Here is a 27217-nt window from a genome sequence, read left to right as displayed (position 1 = left end):
CTTGCTGCAACCTTGCCTCCCAGGTTTAAACAATTCTCCTGCCTCAGCCTCCCGAGTAGCTGGGGTTATAGGCACCCACCAACACGTCCGGCTAATTTTTTGTATTTTTAGTAGAGATGGGGTTTCACCATGTTGTCTAGGCTGGTTTTTGAACTTCTGACCTCAAGGGATCCTCCCGCCTCGTAGTAGCCATTCAATGATACTGAGATGTTTCAAATGCTTCTTAGCCACATGTATGTCTTCTTTTGAGAAGTGTCTGTTCATGTCATTTGCCCACTTTTTAATAAGGTTGTTTGTTTTAATCTTATACATTTCTTTAAATTCCTTATAGATGCTGGGTATTAGACCTTTGTCAGATGCATAGCTTGCAAATATTTTCTCCTATTCTGTAGGTGGTTTGTTTATAGTTTCTTTTGCTGTGAAGAAGCTCTTAAGTTTAATTAGATCCCTCCCACTTAAAAATTTTTGCTTTTATTGAAATTGCTTTTGGCATCTTTGTCATGGAATCTTTGCCTGTCCCTATGTCCAAGATGGTATTATCTTGGTTGTCGTCCTGGATTTTTATTGTTTTAGTTTTTACATTTAAGTCTTTAATCCATCGTGAGTTCATTTTTGTATATTTGTATATTGTGTGAGGAAGGGGTCCAGCTTCAATCTTCTGCATATGGCCCAGCATCAATTATTAGTATTTTCTCTATTGCTTGTTTTTGTCAGCTTCGTTGAGGAAGATCAGATGGTCATAGAAGTGTGACCTTATTTCTGGGCTCTGTATTCTGTTCCATTTGTTTGTGTGCCTGTTTTTATACAAGTACCATGCTTTTTTTTTTGCTTACTGTAGCCCTGTAGTATAGATGGAAGTTAGGTAACATGCTGCTTCCAGCTTTGTTCTTTTGGCTTAGTATTACCTCAGCTATTCTGATTCTTTTTTGGTTCCTTATGAATTTTAAAATATATTTTTTTTCTGGTTCTGTGAAGAATGTCATTAGTAAATTGATAGGAATACCATTGAGCTAGAAAATTGCTTTGGGCAGTATGGCCATTTGAATGAAATTGATTTTTCCTGTTTGACATGGTTTGGCTCTGTGTCCCTACCCAAATGTCATTTCAAATTGTAATCCCCACATGTTCAGGGAGGGAGCTGGTAATCCCCACATGTTGAGGGTGAACCAGGTCCCACCTGGTTTGATTGGAATAGCATTGAGCGAACAAGATGCCTGTTTCACCTTTGCCTTGCTCCACGATTATAAGTTTCCTGAGACTGCCCAATCACGCAGAACTGTCAGTCAGTTAAACCTCCTCTCTTTATTAATTACCCTCAAGTGGTATATTTATAACAGTGTGAGAACAGACTAATACAGATAATTGATACTGAGAGTTGGGTACTGCTACAAAGATAAACTGAAAATGTGGAAGCAACTTTGGAACTGGGTAACAGGCAGAATTTGGAACAATTTGAAGGGCTCAGGAGAAGACAGAAAGATGTGGAAAAGTTTGGAACTTCCGAGAGCCTTGTTGAATGGTTTTGACCAAAAGGCTGATAGTGATATGGCCAGTGCAGCTCAGACTGAGGTGGTCTCAGAGACTGGTGGCATTTGCCCCTGTCCTAGAGATCTGTGGAACTTTGAACTTGAGAGAGATTATTTAGGGTATCTGGCGGAAGATATTTCTAAGCAGCAAAGCATTCAAGATGTGACCTGGCTGATCCTGAAAACATTCAGTTATATGCAGAACTGCGAGTCAATTAAACTCATTTTATTTATAAATTACCCAGTCCCAAGTTCTTTATAGTGGTGTGAAAATGGACTAATATACCATTCGTGAACATGGAACATTTTTTCCATTTGTTTGTGTCTTCTCTGGTTTCTTTGAGCAGTGTTTTGTATTTCTCATTGTACAGAACTTTCATCTCCCTAGTTAGCTGTATTTATGGATATTTTATTCTTTTTGTGGTAATTGTGAACAGGATTGCTTTTCTGATTTGGCTCTCACTTTTGCTCTTGTTGGTGTATAGGAAAGCTGCCTTCCTCCTGATCTGGCCATGTGAAGGCATGTCTTGCTTCCCTTTTGCCTTCTGCCATGATTGTAAAATTTATGAGGCCTCCCCAGTCATGCTAAACTGGGAGTCATTTAAATCTCTGGAATTACGCAGTCTCAGGTATGTCTTTATTAGCAGCACAAGAACAAACTAATACAGTAAATTTGTACCAGGTAGTGGGTCGCTCTTGTAAAGGTATTTGAAAATGTGGAAGCAACTTTGGAATTAGGTAACAAGTAGAAATTGGAACAGTTTGGAGGGCTCAGAAAAAGACAGGAAAATGTGAGAAAGTTTGTAACTTCCTACCATCTTGGAGGGCTCAGACAACAGGAAGATGTGGGAAAGTTTGTAACTTCCTAGAGTCTTGTGGAATGGCTTTGACCAAAATGCTGAAAGTAATATGGACTATAAAGTCCAGGCTGAGGTGGTCTCAGATAGAGATGAGGAACTTGTTGGGAATTGGAGTAAAGGTCACTTTTGCTATGTAAAGAGATTGACAGCATTTTGCCCCTGCCCTAGAGATCTCTGGGACTTTGACCATGAGAGAGATGATTTAGGGTATCAAGCAGAAGAAATTTCTAATCAGCAAAGCGTTCAAGAGGAGGCAGAGAATAAAAGCTTAACAAATTTGCAGCCTGATGATGCAGTAGGGAGAAATTTGAACCTACTGTAGAAATTTGCATAAGTAACGAGAAGCCAAATGCTAATCTACAAGACAATGGAAGAAATGTCTCCAAGTCAGGTCAGAGACCTTCATGGGAGCCTGACTAATTACAGGCCTGGAGATGTAGGATGAAAAAATGGTTTTCTGGGCTGGGCCCAGGGCCCCAGTGCTGTGTGCAGCCTAGGGGCTTGGTATCCTGCATCCTAGCCACTCCAGCTGTGGCTAAAATAGACTAAGGTACAGCTCAGGCCATGGCTTCAGAGGCTGAAAGCCCCAAGTCTTGACAGCATGCACATGGTACTGAGCCTGCAAGTGCACAGAAGTCAAGAATTGAGGTTTGGAAACCTCCTCCTAGATTTCAGAGAATGTATGGAAATGCTTCCATGTCCAGGCAGAAGTCTGCTGCAGGGGTGAGGCCCTCATGGATAACCAATGTGGGGTCAGAGGCTCCACACAGAGTCCCCCACTGGGGCACTGCTAAGTGGAGATGTGAGAAGACGGCCACCATCCTCCTGACCCCAGACTGGTAGGTCGAATGACAGCTTGCATCATGCACCTGGAAAATCTGGTCTCTTTCATGAGACCAGCTCATGAAAGCAGCTAGAATGGGAGCTATACCCTGCAAAGCTATAGAAGTGGGGCTGCCTAAGCCCAAAGGAGCCCACCTCTTGCATCAGTGTGACCTGGATATGAAACATGGAGTCAAAGGAGATCATTTTAGAATTTTAAGGTTTAATGAATGACTTACTGGATTTTGAACTTGTGTGGGGCCTGTAGCGTCTTCATTTTGGCCAGTTTCTCCCATTTGAAATCAGTGTATTTACCCAATTTTTGTACCTCCATTGTATCTAGGAAGTATCTAACTTGCTTTTGATTTTATGGGCTCACAGGTGGGAAGGGACTTGCCTTGTCTCAGGTGAGACTTTGGACTTGGACTTTTGAGTTAATGCTGGAATGAATTAAGACTTTGGGGGACTTTTGGGAAGGCATGATTGTATTTAGAAATGCGAGAACATGAGATTTGGGAGGGGCCAGAGGCAGAATGATATGGTTTGGCTTTGTCTCCACCCAAGTCTCATCTTGAATTGTAGATCCCATAATCCCCACATGTCATGGGAGGAACCTGGTGGGAAGTAATTGAATCATGGGGGCAATTCCTTTATACTATTCTCATGATAGTGAGTTCTCATGAGACCTGATGGTTTTATAAGGAGCTTCCCCCCTCACTCAGCTCTCATTCTTCCCTCTCCTGCCACCATGTGAAGAAGGACATGTTTGTTTCCCTTCGACCGTGATGGTAAGTTTTCTGAGGCCTCCCCAGCCATGCTGAAGTGTGAGTCAATTAAACCTTTTTATAAATTACCCAGTCTCAGGTACTTCTTTATTAGCAGTGTGAGAACAGACTAATACACCTTGGGAATCATTAAGATGATTGCTATAGAATATACACAAAAGAAAGTGAGAAAGAAATTTAAGTGTCATAAACAAAAACTCAAGATAAAAGTAGACAGCAATGCAGAATGTAAAGATCAAAATGGTTATAAGGAATATAGGAAACACCTAGCAAAATGGCAGATATAAGGCCATATTTATCAGTAATTACTTTAAATGTATTACACTCTTCAATCAAAAGACAGAGATTAGAAGAATAGCTTAAAAAAAATACTTAGTTGGTTGTGGTGGCACACACCTGTAATCCCAGCTACTTGGGAGGCTGAGGCTGGAGAATCATTTGAACCCAGGAAGTGGAGATTGCAGTGAGCTGAGATAATGACACTGCACTCCAGCCTGGGTGACAGAGTGAGAATCCATCTCAAAAAAAAAAAAAAAAAAGAAAAGAAAAAAGAAAGAAAAAAAAATATGGCACCAAAAAGCACAAGCAACAAAGAAAAAATAAGTAACTTTGACTACATTAAAATTAAAAAAAAAAACTTTAAAAGAAACAAACAAACAAAAAAACACAGAAGGAAACTATATCCTGCCTACAGGAGACTATTTTAAATCCAAACACACAAGTAGATTGAAAATGAAAGGATGGAAAGATATTACATGAAAATTGTACACAAAAGAGAGTAGAAGTGGCTATGCTATCAAACAATATGTATTTTATATTGGAATTTTTTTTTTTTGAGATGGAGTCTCACCCTGTCACCCAGAATGGAGTGCAATGGCGCAATCTCAGCTCACTGCAACCTCCACCTCACAGGTTCAAATGATTCTCCTGCCTCAGTCTTTCAAGTAGCTGGAATTACAGGCACCAGCCACCATGCCCAGCTAATTTTTGTATTTTTAGCAGAGACAAGGTTTTACCATGCTGGCCAGGCTGGTCTCGGGCTCCTGAACTCGTGATCCACCTGCCTCGGCCTCCCAAAGTGGTGAGATTACAGGTGTGAGCCATGGCAAAAAGTTCATGAGTAACAATGAAGAACATTACCTATTAATAAAACATTCAAATGTAGCAAGAATATGTATCAATTATAAATATTTAGGCACCTAATTGCAGGCTATCAAAATATATAAAGCAAAATGAACAGAATTAAAGGGCAAAATAGATATTTATGCAATAATAGAAACCTGAGTACATTACTTTCTATAATGCACAGAATAGCCAGACATGAGATGAATACATAGAGGATTAAAACACATTATACAAGAAATTAACTAAATCAAATAGAAATATACAGAACACTCTATTTAACAACAGCAGTACGCATGAGACATTTTCCAGGATACACCATATGTGAGGCCACAAATTAAGTCTTCATATATGTAAAATGAGAGCTTGCATACAAGGTATCTTTCTTAACCACAAGATAAAGTTAGAAATTGGTGACAGAAGCTAAACTGATAAAGTCACAAATTTGTGAAAATTAAACAACATAATATTAAACAACCAAATGGATTGAAGAACAAAGAAGAAATTATAATAAAATTAGAAAATACTTAGAGATGAATGAAAAATAAAACACAACATACCAAAACTTACGGGATGCAATGAAAGCAGTTCTAGGCATGTAATTCGTAATCATAAATGCTTCAGCTAAACAAGTAAGAAAGATTTGAAAGCAACAACCTAACTTTGCAACTTACTAACTTTGCAAGATACTAAAAACAAAATAACAAACTAAACCCACTACTAGCAGAAATAAAGAAATAATAAATATTTGAACATAGACAAATAAAAGAGAATAGAAAAACAGAAAAAATTAAATGTAACCCTAAGTTGGTTTCTTGAAAAAATCTCCAAAATTGTCAAATCTTTAGCTAGATGTACTAAAAAAGGAGAAAAGACTAAAATTACTAAAATAAGAAATGAAAGTGGAACATTACTTTGCATTATACAGAAATAAAATGTATTATAAGAGGGTATTATGAATAATTATACACTAACAAATTCAATAATCTAGATGAAACTGATGAATTCTTAGAAATACTAAAGCTACCAAAAGTAAATTATGAAGAAATAGAAAATCTAAACAGACCTAAAATTAGTGCAGATATTGAATCAGTTAAAAAAGACAAAAAAAAAAAAAAACCCAAAAAACAAAACTTTCAACAAGGAAAAAGGCTTGGACCTGGTAGTCTTATGGACGAATGCTCCCAAACATATAAAGTAGAAATTATTTAAGTATACCAATCTTGAAATATTTCCAAAACATTGAAGAGGAAGTAACACTTCATAACTCATTCTATGAGGCCAGAATAATCCTGACACGAAAGTCATACAAAGATAAGTCTTACAAAATAAGAAATCTATAGACCAATCTCCTTTATGAATACTGATGCAGAACTTCTAAACCAATTACTAGCAAACCTAATTCAGTATCATATTAAATGGATTATATTTCATGACCATGATTTTTCCTGAAATGCAAGGATGATTCAACATATGAGAATCAATCAATCAATGCCATATGCTATATTAACAGAATGAAGAAAACAAACTGTGATCATCTCAATTAATGCAGGAAAATCATTTGGCAAAATTCAAATCCTTTCAGGATAAAAATATTCAACAAACTACAAAATACTTCAACACAACAAAATTCTTATAGGCAGAACTTACATTGAACATCATATTCAACATTGAAATATTGAATATTTTCCTCTAAGATTAGGAAGAAGGCAAGGATACTTGCTTTTATCCCTTCAATTCAACATAGTACTGGATGTTCTAACCAGAGCAGTTAGACAACCAAAAAAAAAACAGACCCTTCAATTAAAAAGAAATAGTAAAATTATCTCTGTTTGCAGATGATATAATCATATGTGAAAAAAGTTCTAAAGATTTTACAAAAATATGTTGGAACTAATAAAGACATTCAAAAAATAAGCAGAATACAAAGTCAACACATAAAAATCAGTTGCATTTTTATGTACTAACAATGAAAAATCTGAAAAGAAAACTACTAAAACAATTTAGTTTACAATAGCATCAAAATGAATAAAATAGGATTTAGCAAAGGAGATGAAAGACATATATAATGATACTTCAAAACGTTGCTGAAAAAAGAGAATACATAAATAAAAACACATCCTGTGCTCATGAATTGGAAAACTAGCATTGTAAAATGTCAATACTGCCCAAAGAGATCTACAGATTGAAAGTAATCACAACCAAAATGCTAATAACTTTTTGTCATTAGGATTAAAATTTAAAAATCTATCCTAAAATTCATATGGACTCTCAAGTGGTTCTCAATAGCCAAAATTATCTTGAAAGAGAATATTAAGCTTGTAGGACTCAAACTTCTTTATTTCAAAACTTACTACAAAACTGTGGCTATAAAAACAATGTGGCACTTGTTTAATAACCACACATATAGATCAAAAATAGAATAGAATCAATAAATCAGCCCTGGAATATATGGTCAAAATATTTTGGGCAAATATTTTAAGACCATTTATAGGGGAAAGGATAGTCTTTTCAACAAATTATACTGGAAAAAATGGATATCCATAATGAAAAGAAGGAAACTATACCCTCATCTAACATCATACACAAACGTAAACTCAAAATGAAATCAGACTTAAATGTAATACTTAAAACTATCTTAGAAGAAAATACAAAATTAAAATCTTCATGGCATTGAGTTCAGCAAAATTTCTTGGATATGCCAGCAAAAAACACAGGTAATGAAATCACACAAAACAAATTGAAATAGAAATAAAATTGTTTTAAAAAGTGCATCAAAAGACAGTATCTATTGACGTATCTAAGTAAAATGTATCTAAGAATGGGATATAGTATTTTCAAATTCTATATCTAATGAGGGGTTATTATCCAAAATATATGGAGACATTCCAAAATATATGGAGACATTCCAAAATTTAAAAACAACAAAATAAACCAATTCAAAATAGGTAAAAGACTTGAATATACATTTCTTCAAAGAATATATACAAATGAACAATAAGCACATAAAAAGAGACTCATTATCACTAATCAATAGGAAAATGCAAATCAAAACTCCAAAGAGATCCCACTTCACACCCTTTGCAATTGTTACTATAAAAAAAACACAGAAAACAGCAAATATTGGCAAGAATATGATGCAATTGGAGCACTTCGCACCTTAGATGGGAATGTAAAATGGTACAGCCACTGTGGAAAACAGTATGGCAGTTTTTCAAAAAACTTAAACAAGATTCAGGTTCAAGATGGCTGACTAGTGATATCAAATACATGCCCTCTCCAGAAATAACAAATGTTATGAATAGATAACTTTATCTCAAATAGAACATCTAGGAAAGGACACTAGAGTCTAACAGGGAAGTCACAGGAAATATCTGAGGCACAGAAGGAAACAAGCAGCCAGTTTTCTGAGATCAACCAGCAGCCTGGAAGGGCTCAGTGTTTTAGGTAAAGATTAAGTGAGAGGACTTCAGCAGTCTACATCCCCACCCAACCAAAGGAGAACCCTTCTACTCACATAAACCCTGACACACGTGAGCAGTGATTTGGAGCCGCTGCAAGAGCACTGCAACAGACAGGAAACTCATGCTGTGTTGCTTACTCTCCTGCCCGCCCCCGAACTGAGACCTAAGTGGCTGTAGCCAGGTGCCATTGTGAGAGCACAGCCATCAGGGGACTGCATCCTGCCTGGAGAGCACAGCTTCCATATCTTCACAGTACTGACTGGACCTAAAGGTGCTGTGGGGTCCCCAGTATTCTAGCCCACAGGAAATACTACTGCCCAGGGAAATGACAGTACAGTACACCAAAAAGACAGCCCCTGGCAAAAAGAGATCCAAAGCACGTGCTTTCCAGAGCCTGAGAGTTACCTGTGTGGGGCTGTGAGATGTGGCCTTGCCTCCAGCAATGGCACAAACTCTGTGCTTGGCCTTGTAAGTGGAGAATATGATACCTTTCCACTGGTGCTGTAGTTTCTGTGCTCAGGCTCACACATATAGCACGAGACCTCCCCTGCCCCTTCACACCCTCACTGTAGACACAACAGCCACTGATGCTGCCACCAGAGGAAGGGGAAGAAGAGCTGGAGGGCTGCCTGTCTAGATATGTGAGTAGCAACTCTACACCCAATGATGGTGTGGCTTCTGTGCCTGAGCTCACACACGAAGGCCAAGATCTCTCTCTCCCTCTCTGCAGTGCTGGGGTGCTCCTGCCACAGAGCCAGAGAGTTGCATGCCTGGTGCTGTCAGTGGTGTTGCCACACCACAGCCACTGCCACTACCTGTGCACAACACATGGGACTCAGAGGGTTTTCCCACCACTGCTACTGCCATTGCCTACATCATTTTGGCTTTCCAGGGCTCCGAGAATATTCTCACCCACCTGGACCACTGCTGCCACTACTGGCATCTTAGCAAGTCACCTCATAGCCCAAGAATTCGGCCTTCTGGTTCTGCTAACATTGGTGTCAACATACAGCGCCTTAGGGCTCAAGATCAGGCATCAGCCTTGCTCAGCCCAGTGATGCCACCCCTGGGGCCCAAAGACTGGCCCACCTGGCACCCCTGTCCCCAGTAAAACTTCACCAGAGCCTCCACTAGTAACCACTTGTTAAACCACAGAGGAAATCACAAATACCACTGATGCTGTTGTTTATAGCCAAAAAAATCATACAGAGACTACACTACCACATGCACCCATAATCAAAACTAAAAGAGTCTATCTAAACAACACCATTGACAAATCTTCAGGAAAAAGTCCTCTCCTATGAAAGCAAATTTGAAAACTGGAAGAAGAGACTATTAGACCAGGTGTACAGATATCAATGTAAGGAAAAAAGCAATGAAATATGACACTTCCAAGGGAACACATTAATTCCTCAGCAACAGATTATAATAAAAGAAATTCACAAAATTCCAGAAGAGAATAAAAAATATAATACTAAAAAGCACAGTGAAATGTAAGAGAAATTCTAAAAAAAATACAAAAAATCGGAAAAACATTTCAAGATATGAATGACAAATTTATATATCACAAGAAAAAGAGAGGAACATAGAAAAGCTGGAACTAAAAAATTCCTTTAATGGAATACAAAATATACTTGGAAGCTTCAACAATAGACTAGATTAAGCAGAAGAGAGAATCTTAGAGCTTGAAGACAGATATTTTCAGATAACTCCATGAGACCAAAAATAAAAAAAGCAACATCTTTGTGATATATAAAATACATGAATTATTGGTATCCCCAAAGGCAATGATAACAAAAGTGTTTGAAAATTTATTTTTTGAGATAATAGATAAAAATTTCCCATGTTTAGCAAGATATTTAGACACCCAGATATAGGAGTCTCAGCAATCTCCAATCAGATATAATGCAAAAAGTTATTCTCAACAGAATATTAAAGTCAAACTGTGTAAAGTCAATGACAAAAAAACAATTCTAAAAACTGCAAGATAAAATTATCTAGTCACCTATAAAAAAGCCCCCATCAGACCAATAGCAGACTTCTTAACAGAAGTCTTACTGACCAGGAGAGAATGGATGGATATATACAGAGTTATGAAAATAAAAAGAACTGCCAGCCAAGGGTATTATATCCAGCAAAATTATCCATTACAACTGAAGGAGAAATAGTCTTTCCACGACAAGCAAATGTTGAGGGACTTTATTATCACTAGACCTGCCTTACAAGAAATCCTCAATGGAGTCCTAAACTTATAAATTAGAGAACAACAGTTATTATCATGAAAACACATGAAAATATAAAACTTACAGGTAAAGCAAACACACAAATGAGGAAGAGAAACGACTCAAATTGTATGACCACAGAAAGTCAGCAAACCACAAAGACAATAAGAGAAAAAGAAAGGAACAAAGAATATGCAAAAGAACCTGAAAATAAAAAGCAGTATGACAGGAACAAAACCTCATATATCAATAATGACCCTGATTGTAAACTGATTAAAATTTTCAATTAAAGATAGAGACTGGCTAAATGGATTCTTTAAAACAGGAAAATATGATTCAGCTATATGCTGCCTAGAAAAAATGCATTTTATCTGTAAAGACACATGTAGATTGAAAGTAAAGGGATGAAAAATGATATTTCATGCAAGTAGAAACCAAAAGTGAACAGGAGTAGCAACATTTATATCAGATAAAAATGACTTTAAATCAAAAACAGTAAAAAAAGAGACAGAAGTTCATTGCATAATGATAAAGCTATCAATCCAGCAAGAGAATATAACAATTGTAAATATATATGCACACAAATATTAACACCCAGGTTCATAAAACAAATTTTACTAGATCTAGTAAAGATCTGCCTAGACAGATCCTCTAGACAGAAAATAAACATTAGACTTAAACTGAGTAAAAAACATTTACAGAACATTTAATCTAACAGATACAGAATACACATTCTTTTCATCAACAAATGAAACCTCCAGTATTGACCATATGTTAGACCACAAAACATATCTCAGAATATTACTAAAAATAAAAATCATATCAAGTATCTTTTCTGATCACAATGAAATAAAACTGGAAATCAATACCAAGAGGAACTTAGGAAAATATTTAAATTCATAGAAATTAAACAACATGCTTATGAACAATCATTGATTTGATGAAAAATTAAGATGGAAATCTAAAAATGACTTGAAACAAATGAAAATGGGAAGACAACATACCAAAACGTGTGGGAAACAGAAAAAGCAGTGCTAAGAGGAAAGTTGACAGTAATAAAAGCCTATATTTTGTTAATAAACAGAAAGATTTCAAATAATCTAGTGATGCACTTTAGAGAACTAAAAAAGCAAGAACAAATCAGATACAAAATTAGCAGAAAAAAAGAAATACAGATCAGAGCATAACTAAATGAAATAGAAATAAAAATAACAATATAAAGAATCAATCAAATGAACTTTATTCTTTGAAAATATAAACAAAAATGCTCAACATCACTAATCATTAGTGGAATGTAAATCAACCACAATGAGATATTATCTCACCTCAGTTAGAATGGCTATTATAAAAAGAAAAGAAAATAACAGATGCTGGCAAGGATGAAGACAAAAAGGAACCCCTATACACTCTTGGTGGGGATGTAAATAAGTACAGCTGCTATCAGAATGGAGATTTCTCAAAAAACTAGTAACTACCATATGACCCAGCAATCCCACTATTGGATATCTATCCAAAGGAAATCAGTATATCAAAGGGATAGCTGCATTCTTATGTTCATAGCAGCACTATTCACAATAGCAAAGATATAGAATCCACCTAAATTCCTATCAATGGATGAATCAATAAAGAAAATGTGGTACATATACACAATGAAATACTGGCCATATGAAATTTGCCATAAAAAGAATGAAATCATGTTATTTGCAGCAACATGGATGGAAATGGAGCTCATTATGTTAAGTGAAAAAAGCCAGGCACAGAAAGATGAATACTGTGAGAGCTGAAAACCGTGATATCATGGACTGATAGATACCAGAAACTGGGAATGGTGAATGGGAACAGGGCAGGGAACAAAAAACAATGTGACAGGAACAAAACCTCATATATCAATAATGAACCTGATTGTAAATTGATTAAAACTTTCAATTAAAGATAGAGCCTGGCTAAATAGATTTTTTTTAAACAAAAACATGATTCAACTATATACTGCCTAGAATAAATGCATTTTATCTATAAGGACACATGTAGATTGAAAGTAAAGGGACAAAAAACAATATCTCATGCAAGTAGAAACCAAAAGTGAACAGGAGTAGCAACACTTATATCAGATTAAAATGACTTTAAGTCGAAAACAGTAAAAAAAGACAAAGAAGTTCATTGCATAATGAAGAGAAGTTGGTTATGGGTGCAAACATACATTACATGGAAGAAATGAGTTCTAATGTTTTCGAGCAGACTATGATGACTATATTTGTCAGCAATGTTATTTAATTTAGAGTAACTAGAAGAGCCGACTTGAAATGATACCAATATGAAATTGTGATAAACATTTATGATGATGTACATCTCGGTTACTTTGAATTGATCATTACACACTCTTTGCATGTAACAAATACTCAAATGTACCCCATAAATATGTAACTTATTATATATTAATAAAATAGGAAAAACTAATTAAAGAAATTAAACATGGAATTGCCATATAATCCAACAATTTAACTTCTCAGTTATACCCAAAAGAAGTGAAATGAGCATCTCAAAAAGATATTAATGTACACTCATGTTTACAACGGTATTACCCACAATAGCTAAAACATAAAGCAACTCAAGTGTCCATCAACAGATGAATGGATAAGCAAAATATGCTATATCCATACAATGGAATATTATTCAGTCTTAAAAAGAAAGGGGATTCTAGCATAAGCTAGAACATGGATAAACGTTGAGGACATTATGCTAAGTGAAATAGGCCAGTCACAGAAAGATAAATACTGTGCACAGTGACTCATGCATGTAATCCCAGAACTTTGGGAGGCCAAGGTGGGAGGACTGCTTGAGCCCTGGAGTTTGAGACCAGACTGGGCAACACAGCCAGACTCTGTCTCTACAAAAGGTAAAAAATTATCTAAGTGTGGTAGTGTACGCCTGTAGTCCCAGCTACTTGGAAGGCTGAGATAGGAGGATTACTTGAGCCCAGGAGGTCAAGGCTGCAGTGAGCCATGATTGAAGCACGGCACTTCAGCCTGGGCAAGAGAGCAAGACCCTGCCTCAAAAAAAAAAAAAAAACTGTGTATGAAATACTTAGAGTAGTGAAAAGCATGGAGACAGACAGTTGAATAGTCATTGTCAGGGCCTGGAGCTAGGGAGAAGTGGGGAGTTTTTGTTTAATGGGCATAGAGTTTCAGTTTTATAAAACGAAATGAGTTAGGGAGATGGATGACAATTATGGTTGAAAAGAGTTATGAATGTATTTAATACCACTGAATTCTATACTTTAAAAATGATTAAGATAGTAGATTTTATGTTATGCATATTTTACCACAATAAATAATAATACTTTAGAAGAATTTACTACTCTGAGAGATTTGGGAATATATGTGTGTGTGTGTGTGTGTGTGTGTGTTTGTGTGTAGAGGGAGAGAGAGAGAGTAAAATCATATACAGCAAGGACATTTCCTGGGAGAGTAAATTAATTAAATTTTTTAAAATTAAAATATTTATCAAGAGTTCTAAAGGTATTCAAACTATTAACAATAGCTATATTAGGAAACAGAATTACATGGGGAAAATGAACACCTACATGAACTAATGTTACACGTGTAATAGGAAAATTTGGCTATACCATATGTCCACTACCATATTGTATTCAGATAATATTTAAGGATAGTGGAAATTATTCCAATTCTGTATGGTTAATAGAGGAAAAATATAAACTATTTGTAATATGAAAAATATTTCTGTATACAACATGAAAGATTATAAAGGTATACACCACTTCTGGTTGAATAATAGTATTATGTGTAATGGGTAACTTTCTTATTAAAATTTTTTCATGCTTTGCAGATGTCTCATGTTTTACAAATCCAATTTTTTTTTAAATTGAGCGCTTATAAAATGCTTAGCAATGTGTTGGGAACTTCAGTTAAAATGGTAAAAAGCTGCTAATTATATTTGGTAAAATATACCATTATTAAATATTATATTAAAATTCTCTTTAGATGTAACGAAAAAGCTGGTTTGTATTTCAAAGGTGTGTATATGTGTTGCTATTCTGTTTTTGCATTAATTGACTTGAATTCAATTAATTTTGCTATAGTCTAATGCTTTTAAAAAGAAGGATTGATGTCAAACATAAGGAATGACCTCCTATTGGCAGAAGTTTTATTGGATGAAAGAACTGGGAACAATCCTCAAAATGTAGAGTTCAGTGTTACAGAAACAGCACTGGTAAAATAGATGTTTGGGGTATTTTTTGTTTGTTTTCTTTTGTTATTGGTTTAGCTATAATAACTTGCAGTAAGGTTTTAGAAGCAGTTCAGAGTTAGCTATTGTAACAACTCCTTTTTCAAAATTCTGATAAGTTAAATTTTTTATCTTTACTGTAATAAAGGATGTATCCATTTAAATACGCCTTCTTTTGTGAAACACAATTTAGTTCTGCACAATAATCTGAATCCAATAAAGCACACATGTAAGAACCATTATGCATTTCCCCTACCTGCCTCATTAGACTGAGCATACAAAAGAGATCAATGACTAGATGGAATTGACAAAATATGCATTTTCCCTTTTCCTGATGTGCTAAGACAGATAGAAAATACCGCTTTCGTTTTTCTGTTCGTTCCTCTGAAGCATTTCAACTTTCATTTCTGTAACTGTTATCACATTCAACGACTTCAACACACTCTCCATTTCACTAGCAATCTGTTAGTGATCTGCTCCTTTCATCTCTCCACAGATTTGTCCTAATGAAATTATTATGGCTAAACTGCTGTTCTTCATCCGCCTTTATTCCATCTCTATATGGTAATAATGATCTCATTTTATTTTCAGAAATACTGACACACAGCTATAGTTTTGAGTCATTATTTTTATGTTTCTTAAAAGAAAACAATTGATTCTCTAAATATTCTGTTTTGTGTATATATCGAAGGTGCATACAAGACAGTGGCGCTGCATTTATTCTGAAAGGAAGCAGAGTGGAGTGGTTAGGAGATGACTCTGGTTCCATAATAAACTGCGTTCAAATCTTCTCTCTTCTACTTATTGCTATGTGATCTTAAACATGTTGTTCAGTCTCAGTAAACATGCTAATTTATAGGTTTGCTATGAGCATTAAATGAGAGAATGCATATAAAGTAATTAGCTCAGTCCTTGGTACATGGGAGCAAAGCTAATGTTTACAGGAATAGAGACTCCTCTTATGACTCAAGGCAGTTTGTATGGATGCATGCAGCTATGTTTTACTTCAGTACATAGTATAGGTACATTTATGTATGTTACAAGTCTTTATGTGTCAATATCAACTACTCTTTTTTAGATCTTCTACCACCCTACCTAATTATGAAAAAAGCAAAGGACCTTTAATCTGTTGCAATTAATCTTTAGTAAACTTAGAAACCGATAATCATGTTTAGGTAAAGAATATTTTGAATAAATTAATACCATGCTGAATTTGAGTCTAAGGATCTGGTTTAAGGATAGAGGCATGAGGATACTCATAAGCTCTTTTCATGTAAATCTGATTTTTTTCTTTTTTAACATCTGTATATATTTAACAGGTATAATTGATGTTAAAATGCTTATATTATAGTGCATTAAAGTGTAAAGCTTGTTTTAATATAAGCATACAATTGTGACTATATCACATCTGTCAAGATGGATAAACATATCCATAATTCCCCCAAATTTTCTATTGCCCCCTTGCAATCCCTCCCTTCTACCCATATCCACCCCTACCATGTGCCCATTCCCCAGGCATTCACTGCTAGGCTCTCTGTCAAAATAACTTAGTTTGCATCTTCTAGATCTTTATATAAACAGAATCAAACACTATGTACTGTTTTCTTTCTGATATATTTTGTATGATTATTTTGAGATTTATCCATGTATGCTAATATTTCAATAGCTCGTTTTATTGCTAAATAGTATTCTACTGACAGATAAATACAACTTGTTTATCCCATTCACATATTGATGAAGGCTTAGGTTGTTTCCAGTGTGGGGCCGTTGCGAATAAAGCCACTGTGAACATTTGGGTACCAGTTTTGGTGTGAATATTTGCTTTAATTTCCCTTGAATAAAGAGAAATATATTGGAATGGCTGTGAGTAGAATGTTTGGATCATATAGTAATTCTCAAAAAATGACTCAAACTGTTTTCCACAGTGGTTATATCATTTTACATTCCCACCAGCAATGTATGAGGGTAGTTAGGGTAGAATTTATATTTCTTTTTAAAAATATTTGGTAGAATTTCAAGTGAAGCCTTGTGGACATGATGTTTTCTTTGTGGAAAGGTGTTTTAACCATACATTTACATTCTTTAATAATTAAAGGACTACTCAGGTAATGCATTTCTTCTTGAATGAGTTTTAGTAGTTTGTGTCTTTCAAAGATTTGTCCTATTCATATGCATTTATAGAATGTTGTCAATATTTTGTTATCTTTATTTTAATAGCTGTGTCACCTCTTTCAATATAAGAATCTCTCAATTCTTATGCTGGTAATTTGTGTATTTTCTCTTTTTTTGAAGGTTAATCTGACTCTAAATTTATCAATTTAATTGATTTCCCCACCAAACAGCTTTCATTTCATTGATTTTTTCCCCATTTTTCTTTTTTCTATTTCATTGATTTGTGTTCTGAGCTTTATTTTCTCTTTTGTATTTCAAATTTATTTTGCTTTTTTTTTTGTCTGTCTGTTTCTTAATGTGGAAAACTGAGATCGTTGAGTTTTTTTTTTTTTTGTCTTTTCTAATATAAGCTTTTGAAGCTATAAATGTCCACCTACAGACTACTTTAGTAACATTCCACAATTTTGGTGAATTTTTCATTACCATTCAGCTAAAAATACTCTCTAGTTTTAAAAAATTTTATCTTTTACCAATTTGCTATTTTAAAGTGTTTTTTTGTTTGTTTGTTTCTACATATTTAGGGATTTTCAGATTTCTTTTTCCGTTGCGTTACTGCTTACTCTTTTCTTGTTTACATTGCTTCTGATGAGATATCTACTGCCATCCTTATCTTTTTTCCTCTTTGCATAACATGTATTTTTGTTCTCTACATACTTTTAGCATTTCCTCTTCTGTTTGTTTTTTCATGCTTCTTGTGACGGGGTTTTGTAGAGATTCTGGGATCCCTATGTTTATTTTTTCTGCAATTGAAAAATAATTTTTCAAAAATATTTTTTCATACTTCCTCCCTGCTTAATATCCCAATTACTGAATAGTAGTCTGCCTAAAGTTGTCCTACAGCTCACTGATGCATTTTTCACTGTTTTTGTTACTTTTTTTCTGTGTTTTAGTTTGGATAATGTCTATTGTTAAGTCTTCAATTTCATATCCTTTTATTTTGCCGTGTCTAATCTGGCATCATTCTTGTCCAGTGTATTTAGACATTGCAGTTTTTCTCTCTAGAAGTTTGACTTCTATCTTTTTAAATTTTCCATTCTTAATTTTTTGGACATATGGAGTTCATAATGACTGTTTTAATACCCTTGTCTATTAATTCTATCATCTGTGTCAGTTCTAAGTTGATTATGACTGACTGAGTTGTTTCCTCATTATGGTTTGTATTTTCCTACTTCTTTACATGTTTGGCAATATTTGACCATAAGTTATATTTACAAATATGTTGCAAATTTTACCTTCTTAGGTGATGGATATTTTTGTATGCTTCAATATTTTTGTGTTTCTGTCAATATTCTTTAGCATTGTTCTGGGTCATAGTTAAGTTACTTAAAATGAGGTTGCTCACTTTGGGTCTTGCTTTTAAACTTTGTTTAATAAGACTAGAGCAGTGCTTACTCTAAGGTTAATTATTCCCTACTACTGAGACAAAATGTTTTGGAGTACTGTCTTCAATGCCTTGCGAATCGTTTCCCAATCAGCTGGTAGGAAAAGACACTACTCCTAATTTTATGTAATTGCTGGGAACTGTTTCCTCTAATCCTTTCAGATTGTGTCTTGGCCTTTGGCAGTTTAGTTACACAATGTGTACTCAATAGTACTCAGTTGAAAACTCAAGGGGAAGCCACTGCAGCCAAATTTACATGTTTGTACAGTGCTCTTCTCTCTGATTCTCTGCAAACTCAAGCCACCTTTTTCTCCCCAAATTTCAACTCTGCTTTCTTAATTCATTCAGTCTACTGTTTCCACCTGGGTTCTCCTTCCCTGCTGCTTAGCAAGGAAATTCTTTTAAGATGCTAACCTGGGGTAATCATAGGACTCAATTAGTTTGTTTGCTCTTTCTCAGGAATTACTGTCTTTTAGTTTTGACTAAACTAAATTACAGTTTAGTCAAAACTGTTTCATATTTTTGCATTTTTTTAGTTGTTTCAAGTGGGAGGTAAATTCCAGTTGCTGCTATTCCATCTTCTAAATCTGATTTTTCATGTGCATTTTGTTTGATTGTTTGTTGCATTTGAAACCAACACAACAGGGGTTAATTGTATTTCATTTGTGGGTCACTGGTTGTTCTTTGGTGTATGTTACAAATTTTACCATGTTCTAAAAGCACTGTAGACATTAGATTGATTTTTGTTTTTTGAAGTGTGGGTGCTACTTATGGCCATCTTTTGATGGTTGATTTTATGAATTAATAAAAACATATGAAGTTAGATGTAGCTATTATTAGGAAACATTATATTACACACAGAATAAATACAGGTTGAATTTTAAAAAATCATTTTTCTCAAATGTGCCATAAAAAATCTGAACTGAGAATTTTAATGCATTAGATATCTAGAAAAAATGAAAACTTTCAGTCACATTTTGTGATTAGTCTAATGACCTAGATATATAAAAGATATAAAAATGTGTACATAATTTACTAAATATTTCCATTTCTATCCAGAAATTTGGTATTGGCTATTGACAAGATGATCTTCAAGAAAATATAGAAAATATCTGATACCAATTGAGTTACTAATATTAAATATTCTCATTCTTGGTTTGAAGCAGCAAAAATATACTAGTTTCTGGAACTTAATCTTAGAGATAATGGTAGAGAATCTATAAATAGTTAACATAATTACAAAGTGCAGAATAATATTTACATACACCCAATAAAGATTTTTTTAAATTACACACAGATAGTAGCTATAATTAAAATAATTTAAAGGAAAGAAGAAAATATGAGGGACTGTATATTACTGTATTTGTTAAAGATGACCTTTTCCTAAGGAAACAAACATTTCCAGCCATTTGGTTCATTTCTATTTGCTCTTTCTAAAATGTGGATATTCATTTATATTTATTTAACAGTACTATTTTAGAAGAGCACAGATGATAATGTTTGGCATGATAACTATTTCAAGCCAAGAAGTAGTCTACTTAAAACTGGCTTCAGTTTTCTTTTCTGTTGTATATTTTTACTACATTTTCATAGTATGTTCTGCTTAAAATACAAACACACAGATGGCAATATACTGCTGCCAGCCATAAGGTTGAAGTATGTTTGTGTGTGTTGGTTGGGAAATATCTATAAAATGAAGTACTTGTAGACACTAAACAAAATCTACTCTCTGTAGATATTTTATATTATAGTTACAAATGGAGCACTTTAATGAGCACAATATATGCTTCCAAAATTAGGCTTGTTTACTTCAGTGAGAAATTATGCAGCCTTTGAAAGCAAAATCCAAGTTGCCTCCAAATTTTCACCAAGATGAAAGAATTTTGCCAACTATAATCTAAAGGGGAATGAAAAGAAAACCAAAAAAAGAAAAAGGTTTTGAGATGAAGCTATTTGATGTAATCTGATATACGTTTAAAATATGTTGCAGTGTCTGTGCATTTACTTAATGTAAACATAGCAACTTTTAGACAGGAACGTATACTTCAAAAGGAATCCTTGTCCTTAACCTGATGAAAATAAAACATGTTTTTTAAAATACCGGCTTATTTACTCATTATTTTCTAATTCAATATTGATTGTTACCATGAAGAGACAGTTCCAGAAAGAATCTACTTTTTTTCCTAAAACAGAAAACTAATTAAGCATTTGAGTACATGATTCCAAACATCTGGGTTGTTTCAAAATGATTTTTTTAAAAGAAGAAAGATAAGAAACAACTTCACTATATAAAAGTGATGCTTACTTCCATGGAAATCCATCAGTATAAAATTTGTACTCCAGATTTAAGGTATTGACAAATTAGATATATGGGGTAATTAATTCAATGGCTGAGAGAGAAACTACATTGAGAGATTCAGTGGACATATTGGATTCAGGCATTGTAAGTGTAACACTGAAACATGAACAAAAAATCAGATCAGTCATCTTTGCTAAAAATATTACTATTATCAACTTGCATTTGAACATCCTATAGTTTGGTACAGTACTCATAAAATTTAATAGTAAACTTTTCATTTTTATTCCAAATATTTATCTTTGTCTCAACAACAAATAATGCAAAACAACTCGTTGAGATATTTAACTGTTGCTTCAATTTCTTTGATTGTATCAAATATGTCCCTAGTTTTAAACGTCAAGTTTCATCTCAGAAATAATAAATTATTTACTTCTTTATAATGAACTTCTTCCTTGATTATCTGTTTTATCTCAGATTTTAGCTACACAAACTGTTTTCATTTGAGTGTGTTTCTGGTAACTAAAGTAGTTAATATATAAGTAACTAGATGTATCTCAGAGTAAAGGGTATATAGTAAGTATTATTTTGATGGAATTAATAATTGTTTAATTGTGTCTAGAGGTGATCATTCTATTCATTTAAATGTATGTTTTCTTTTTTCTTCAAGTTTTTGTTATGGACTATGTTCATTTCTGGGAGTTTGAAGAAAGTATATTTTAATCCTACTAATTGCAATTTTCCTTAAAGATCATTCCTCCTTAAGCTCAATAATTGACTCTGAGAACCATCCTGCAATACAAATGATGTACTGATACTGAGTTACAATTCAATGATAAATGTTAATTGGTAACAAAAATAAAAATCAAAAGTCAGCAATTTGTTTTTGCTTAATTTGGCTTAGTTATGACCTCTCAGAATTACAGAAGTAGGTAGGACATCTCCCCATCCTTCTACTGTATTTTTATTTTCACAACTTACATTGGTTTTCAGATTTAAGCACCATAATCAAACCCTGGAGCAACAGTTGAAGGGCTCAGAATGTGGTAGTAGCCTTAAAAGTAAGTGAACTAAGCAGTCATATATGAAATGATTTGAAAGACACTAAGGATTTTCCCCTACATCTCTGGAAATTCTACCATTAGGCATTCATTGCTTTGGCTAAATGGTTGTCTCTTCTCTGTTTTCCCCTTTCCCTAGGACTTCCCTTATGAAAGTTTACTCAATGGAGCTGATGTCACTTTGCAATGAATTCATTTATCATAGCATTTATCCATTGCAAAACAACGAGAGAGAGAGAGAGAGAGAGAAAGCATGGCAAGTCTAGATTCATAAGAAAGAGTAAAAGGAGGTGTTTGATAGCTGAAAAGAATAGGCAAGCTTTCCTTTCTGATAATTTTGTGAAATCACTTCCTTTATATGACTTAAAATTGGATTATAATATTTTTCCATTTCATTCTGTAAAACTGAGATAACTTTTGTATACAATGTGGCTATAAAGAAAGGCAGCAGTCCTGTGCAGAAGAGGAGGGCTATTGAACTGTCCCCACTATTTCTACCTCCTGTAATCCTGGCCCAGAAGGGAAAAACAGGCTTCATAAATTAATATATTTATTTCTATTGTATCAAATAAAATAATCTAAAATTAACCATTTCCGCCCATAGATACATGCCTCTTTTAATTAAGGCTGTGCATGATTATTTTAATCATCGTGATCATCCTCCTTACTATTAGTGAATTTTGCATCCACTTTTAGGACCACATGCATTGATTGTCAGCCTCTGTACTGATCCATGGAGGCAAACAGCCTCTCTGACAATGACCATAACCCTTATAATGCCCCTAACCAATTGTGCAGGAAGTCATTCTCTCCCAGTTTCTGCAATGAGCAACTTACTCCCTAAAGTGTGAGATTTGATACCTTTTCTCAGCATGTGTTCAGACAAATGTTATTATTGGTCATAAAATTATTCAGCCCAGTGACCTATGGTGACAGTGAATTTCACAAGGTGACTGCCTGCTGAGTGAAGCATCTCTTTTTATTTGTTTTAAATATTGTATATAATGGAGCTGGAAAAAAATAGGAAAATAATTTCAGATGTTTGAATATAGCGACACTGACATTATGCTAGCAACATTTTGAAATATATATCTGTCACTTGTGTTCCATTGAACGCAAGTGACAAATTTAGCAAACAGAACATACAAGATATGTAGTTAAATTTGAATTTAAGATTAAAAAGATTTTTAATATAGCTGTTTTCCATTCAATATATGGGGTATCTTTATACTAAAAATTGAAATCTTTTGTTACCTGTAATTCAAATTTAACTAGGTCTGTATTTATGTGGCAACCTATTTTTGAGGGATTCATTTTATCTGTGCTCCACTAAAGCTGTTTATATTACCATAGGTTGTCTTTTTCTAAATTACTGATTCAATGAAGGTTTCAAAAATGCTCTACACAAAGAAATGTTACAAGTTGTTAAAGATTCTCTTTTGAGGCACTCAAAAGTTTGCTAAGGTGAATGCTTGCTAGAAATATCTTAAGGTCGAACACTAAATCTATTTGTTATAAAAGGAAGAGAATGGTCAATAGCCAAGCAAACATGATTTTATTTTCTTTTAATAGATTCTTTTAGACAGACAGAGAAATGCTCTAAATAAAAATAACCACTTTCCTTTTCTCCTCACTTGGAACTATTCTCATGCATGAGTTTGTATGTAAAATTCATAAATGACTGGTGAACTGTGTCTTATTGCATCACTGAATCTAGATTTAACTGCTGCCAGAATGCAATTGTCACTATATAAGGAATCTGTGTTGCACTGGAAAGGTCATGAAAGCACCTGCCCAGATGTCAGCACATTGCAATTCTCCATGCTGCAATGCTGGCCGATAATCTGTGCAGAAACAACACACACACTGTCTTTCTCTCTCTCTCTCTCTCTCTCTCTCTCTCTCTCCCTCTCTCTCTCTCTCTCTCAGAGGAAGTTGCCTAGCAAGGAAGCTCTCTTGCATTAGGTACTCTGTTAGCCGTGAATAAAATCAGTGCGCAAACATTTCCTACCTTGACAGAAAAGGACATTTCATTCCTCTTAAGCAAAATTATTTAAACAAAGTTCTTGGAGGGATAGAGATAGAATTCCATGCATACCTGTGTGGGAGAAAATGGATTTCAATGACTGACTATAAACCCTTTTGAAACATGGCTAGAAACCTTTCTCTAGTACCTGCAAGATTGCAGTCAGTGTCTTTCGTATTGCCAGTGTCTTTGGTATTGTCAGTGTAAGATAATCACGATAGAGCCTCTTTGGAATTTGGCAGTGCAGATACTTTCAAGATTCCCTGGAGAAATCCTGACTCTTGTGTGTATTTTTTTTTTTTTTTTTTTGTCGAGTGTGTTCCCTATATCAACTTTAGCTATAAATGAAGAAACCAATAATTACTTTGAGCAAAGGATGCTGAATACTTCATAAGCATATAATAATAATTCCCAGTCTTGACTCAGAGTTAGACCTAAGGAGAGGCACAGTTGGGCCCCAATTACATTTTTTGTGTGAGACTTGGGATTTCTATATTGCTTTGAATCTACAGAATTCTATTTTAGTATAAAAAATGGTTATAAAAAGGAACAATGTATCACGCATATTGTGGTGGATGTTATTGAAAAGAGATGAAAAGCAGACTGACATCCCTTGCTATCAATGTAGCTGATGTTACAGAGGCCTAGGTATGTATGATGCTATATAGATCTGTGTGGAAAAGATTTTAAATAATCGTAATTCTTTTCCATAGGAGGTCGCAATCTGTAACCAGACTGTGGAGAACTCAACAGTCAAAAGAAGGCCTCCCAGAACTTAAAGTATAAGAAAAAATGTTTAAAAAAGAATTATATACACACATACACAAATAAATTAATATAAAAACTGGCAAAATCTAAATAAGTACTGTATGTAGGTTGTACCAATGTCAATTTCCTAGTTTCGATATTGTACTAGAGTTACATGTTACCTATAGAGTAAATGGGATAAAGAGGACAGGAGACTTCTCTGCATTATTTTTGCAACTTCTTGATCTATATTTATTTCAAATTAAAAGTTAAGGAAAGATAAAAAATAGAAAGAAATAACTAAATACCTCAAAAATTTCAGCACAAATGAAGAAGATAAATAATACTTTTGTTTACTTAGTCTTTGTTTATGAAAAAGAATGACTACAGCTAGTCTTTATTAAGGACATACTATAGGCTTTGTATACATCATTTCTACTGTCTCTATTGACATGGACAGGAGACAGGGAAATACTGGGTAGAAGAGGGCAGTTCTCCGGCAAAGGCCCCATCCTCGAGCCTGGATACTAGTGGCCCTAAATGAGAACAGGCATTCCTGTTTTCACACCCAAAAAGTTGCCTTTCAACCCACCACACCCCCTACCCTGAACCCATATAAACCCTGAATTCCAAGCTCCAGAGCAGACCAGCAAGCCAGCAGACCAGCAGACAGATAGTGGAATGATGTAGCAGATAAAGGGGGGAGAAGAGGAACATTTGAACACCGAGAGGAGTATGGCTGGGGGTGGTCAGAGAGGAGTCCGGCTACTGGACGGCCCAACTCCAGGGGAGGATCACCTACTCACTCCATCCCCCACTTCCAGTTCCCTGTCTATCCCGCTGAAAGCCACCTCCACCACTCAATAAAACCGCACGTTCATCCTTGAATCTATGTGTGACCCAATTTTTTCGGAACGCTGGACAAGATCTCAGGATACAGAAAGCTGTCACACTGGCCCTCTGCCCTTGCAAAAAGACAGAGGATCCATTGAGCTGATTTGCACTCAAGCCATCTGTGGATGGCAAAGCTGAAGGAGCTTTGTAACACTGGGGTTGCAGGCACCCACCCCTAGACACTACAACAGAGCTGGAGCCCAAAGCACTCCCCCAGACTGTGCACCTGCCTGTCTGCATGCTTCCCCTCCCACAAGGGGTTTGAGCAGCAGGGTGACCAAACAGGAGAGCCACATCCCTGCTGCATGTCCTGCAAGAGGAATGAGGAAACTCTCCTGTTTCACTATCATTGTTAGAGGTAATGCAGGTAGAGATGAAGTGTCAAATTGCTGTTACTATTTTACAAAAGAGTATCTGCTTTGAGTTCAGATAATACACAGATGCTCCTCAACTCATGGTGGGGTTATGTCCTGATGAGCCCACATAAGTCAAAAATACTGTAGGTCAAAAAATCCTAAGTCAAACTATAATAAGTACAATTACTTCTCAACTTTCGATAGGGTTACCTGCTGATAATCCCACTGGAAACTTGAAAAGTTGTTAAGTAAAAGCATCACAAATTGGGGAATGTCTGTGTTACATTATAGAATCAAGAACAAAAGAAAGACTAGAGTAACAAAAACAATCAAACCAAACAAAGCAGAAACATGCTTATAAATTTCATTGCACACACAAACACACAAATAAGTATTTGAGATGATGGATGATGGATATGTTAATTAACTTGATTTAATCATTCCACATTGCGTACCTGCATCATATTATCGCAGGTACGCAATTATCGCATATTCCTTTTTTATCCTTTTTTTTTTTTTTTTTGAGACAGGGTCTCACTCTGTCATCCAGGCTAGAGTGCACTGTGCGATCATAGCTCACTGCAGCCTCGAACTCCCAGACTCAGGTGATCCTCCTATTTCATTCAGCCTCCTGCACTTTGTATCCCATAATTATATACAATTATAATTTGTCAATATGCAATAAAATTAAAAAGCAACCCGGCTCTTTTTACCATATCTACTAACTGGTAGTTCTGAAGAGGTGACACTTTTGCCCCCCAAGAAAGATTTGACAACATCTAGACATATTTTTTTATTGCAACTCTAGAAAAGAGGGAGAGGAGTGTTAGGCAGCTATTGGCCAGAGGCCAGAAGTGCTTCTAAATATCCTAAAACACAAAGAACATTTCCCTCAACAAAAATTTGTCTGGCCCAGTTGCTGAGGTTGAATATGCCTATTTTAGAAGAAGGCTAAAGCTAAGTTACTTTGGTACTATGGTAATTTTATCATTAAGAAAGAGAAAATTATCTCATACTACAAATTACTTAGTGAACCATAGAACATAAGAGCACAAATATCTGCTATTCTACCTACCCAATGTATACTTGGGTAAACCTTTCCAAGTTACATGGCTGATCCTGCTGTATTCAATGCATTTTTAATTTATTTTTATTTTTTTAACTTTTATTATACGTTCAGTTGTACATGTGCAAGTTTGTTATACTGGTAAATTGAATGTCATAGGGATTTTGTGTACAGA

At 34.9% G+C, this 27217-nt stretch overlaps 1 long non-coding RNA gene across 1 annotated transcript in view, besides 2 other annotated features; it reads right to left on the bottom strand.

Moving 5' to 3' along the window:
• Positions 1 to 27217, bottom strand: part of LINC00348 (long intergenic non-protein coding RNA 348) — a 153277-nt gene that overhangs the window by 102899 nt on the left and 23161 nt on the right. The window lies entirely within an intron of this gene.
• Positions 8583 to 8672: a silencer, noted in NCBI's record as "silent region_5393". NCBI's record gives its function as "represses an Ori minimal core promoter by ATAC-STARR-seq in GM12878 lymphoblastoid cells {active_cell/tissue: GM12878}" and the evidence as "EXISTENCE:reporter gene assay evidence [ECO:0000049][PMID:35858748]".
• Positions 9293 to 9849: an enhancer, noted in NCBI's record as "H3K27ac-H3K4me1 hESC enhancer chr13:71629802-71630358 (GRCh37/hg19 assembly coordinates)". NCBI's record gives its function as "activates a minimal SCP1, AML or CMV promoter by ChIP-STARR-seq in naive H9 embryonic stem cells {active_cell/tissue: H9 hESC(naive)}" and the evidence as "EXISTENCE:reporter gene assay evidence [ECO:0000049][PMID:30033119]".

Source organism: Homo sapiens, chromosome 13, assembly GCF_000001405.40.
Source record: "Homo sapiens chromosome 13, GRCh38.p14 Primary Assembly".
Taxonomy (NCBI): domain Eukaryota; kingdom Metazoa; phylum Chordata; class Mammalia; order Primates; family Hominidae; genus Homo; species Homo sapiens.
The sequence above is the reverse complement of the archived record's forward strand: the minus strand, read 5'-3'. Positions and strand labels throughout refer to the sequence as shown.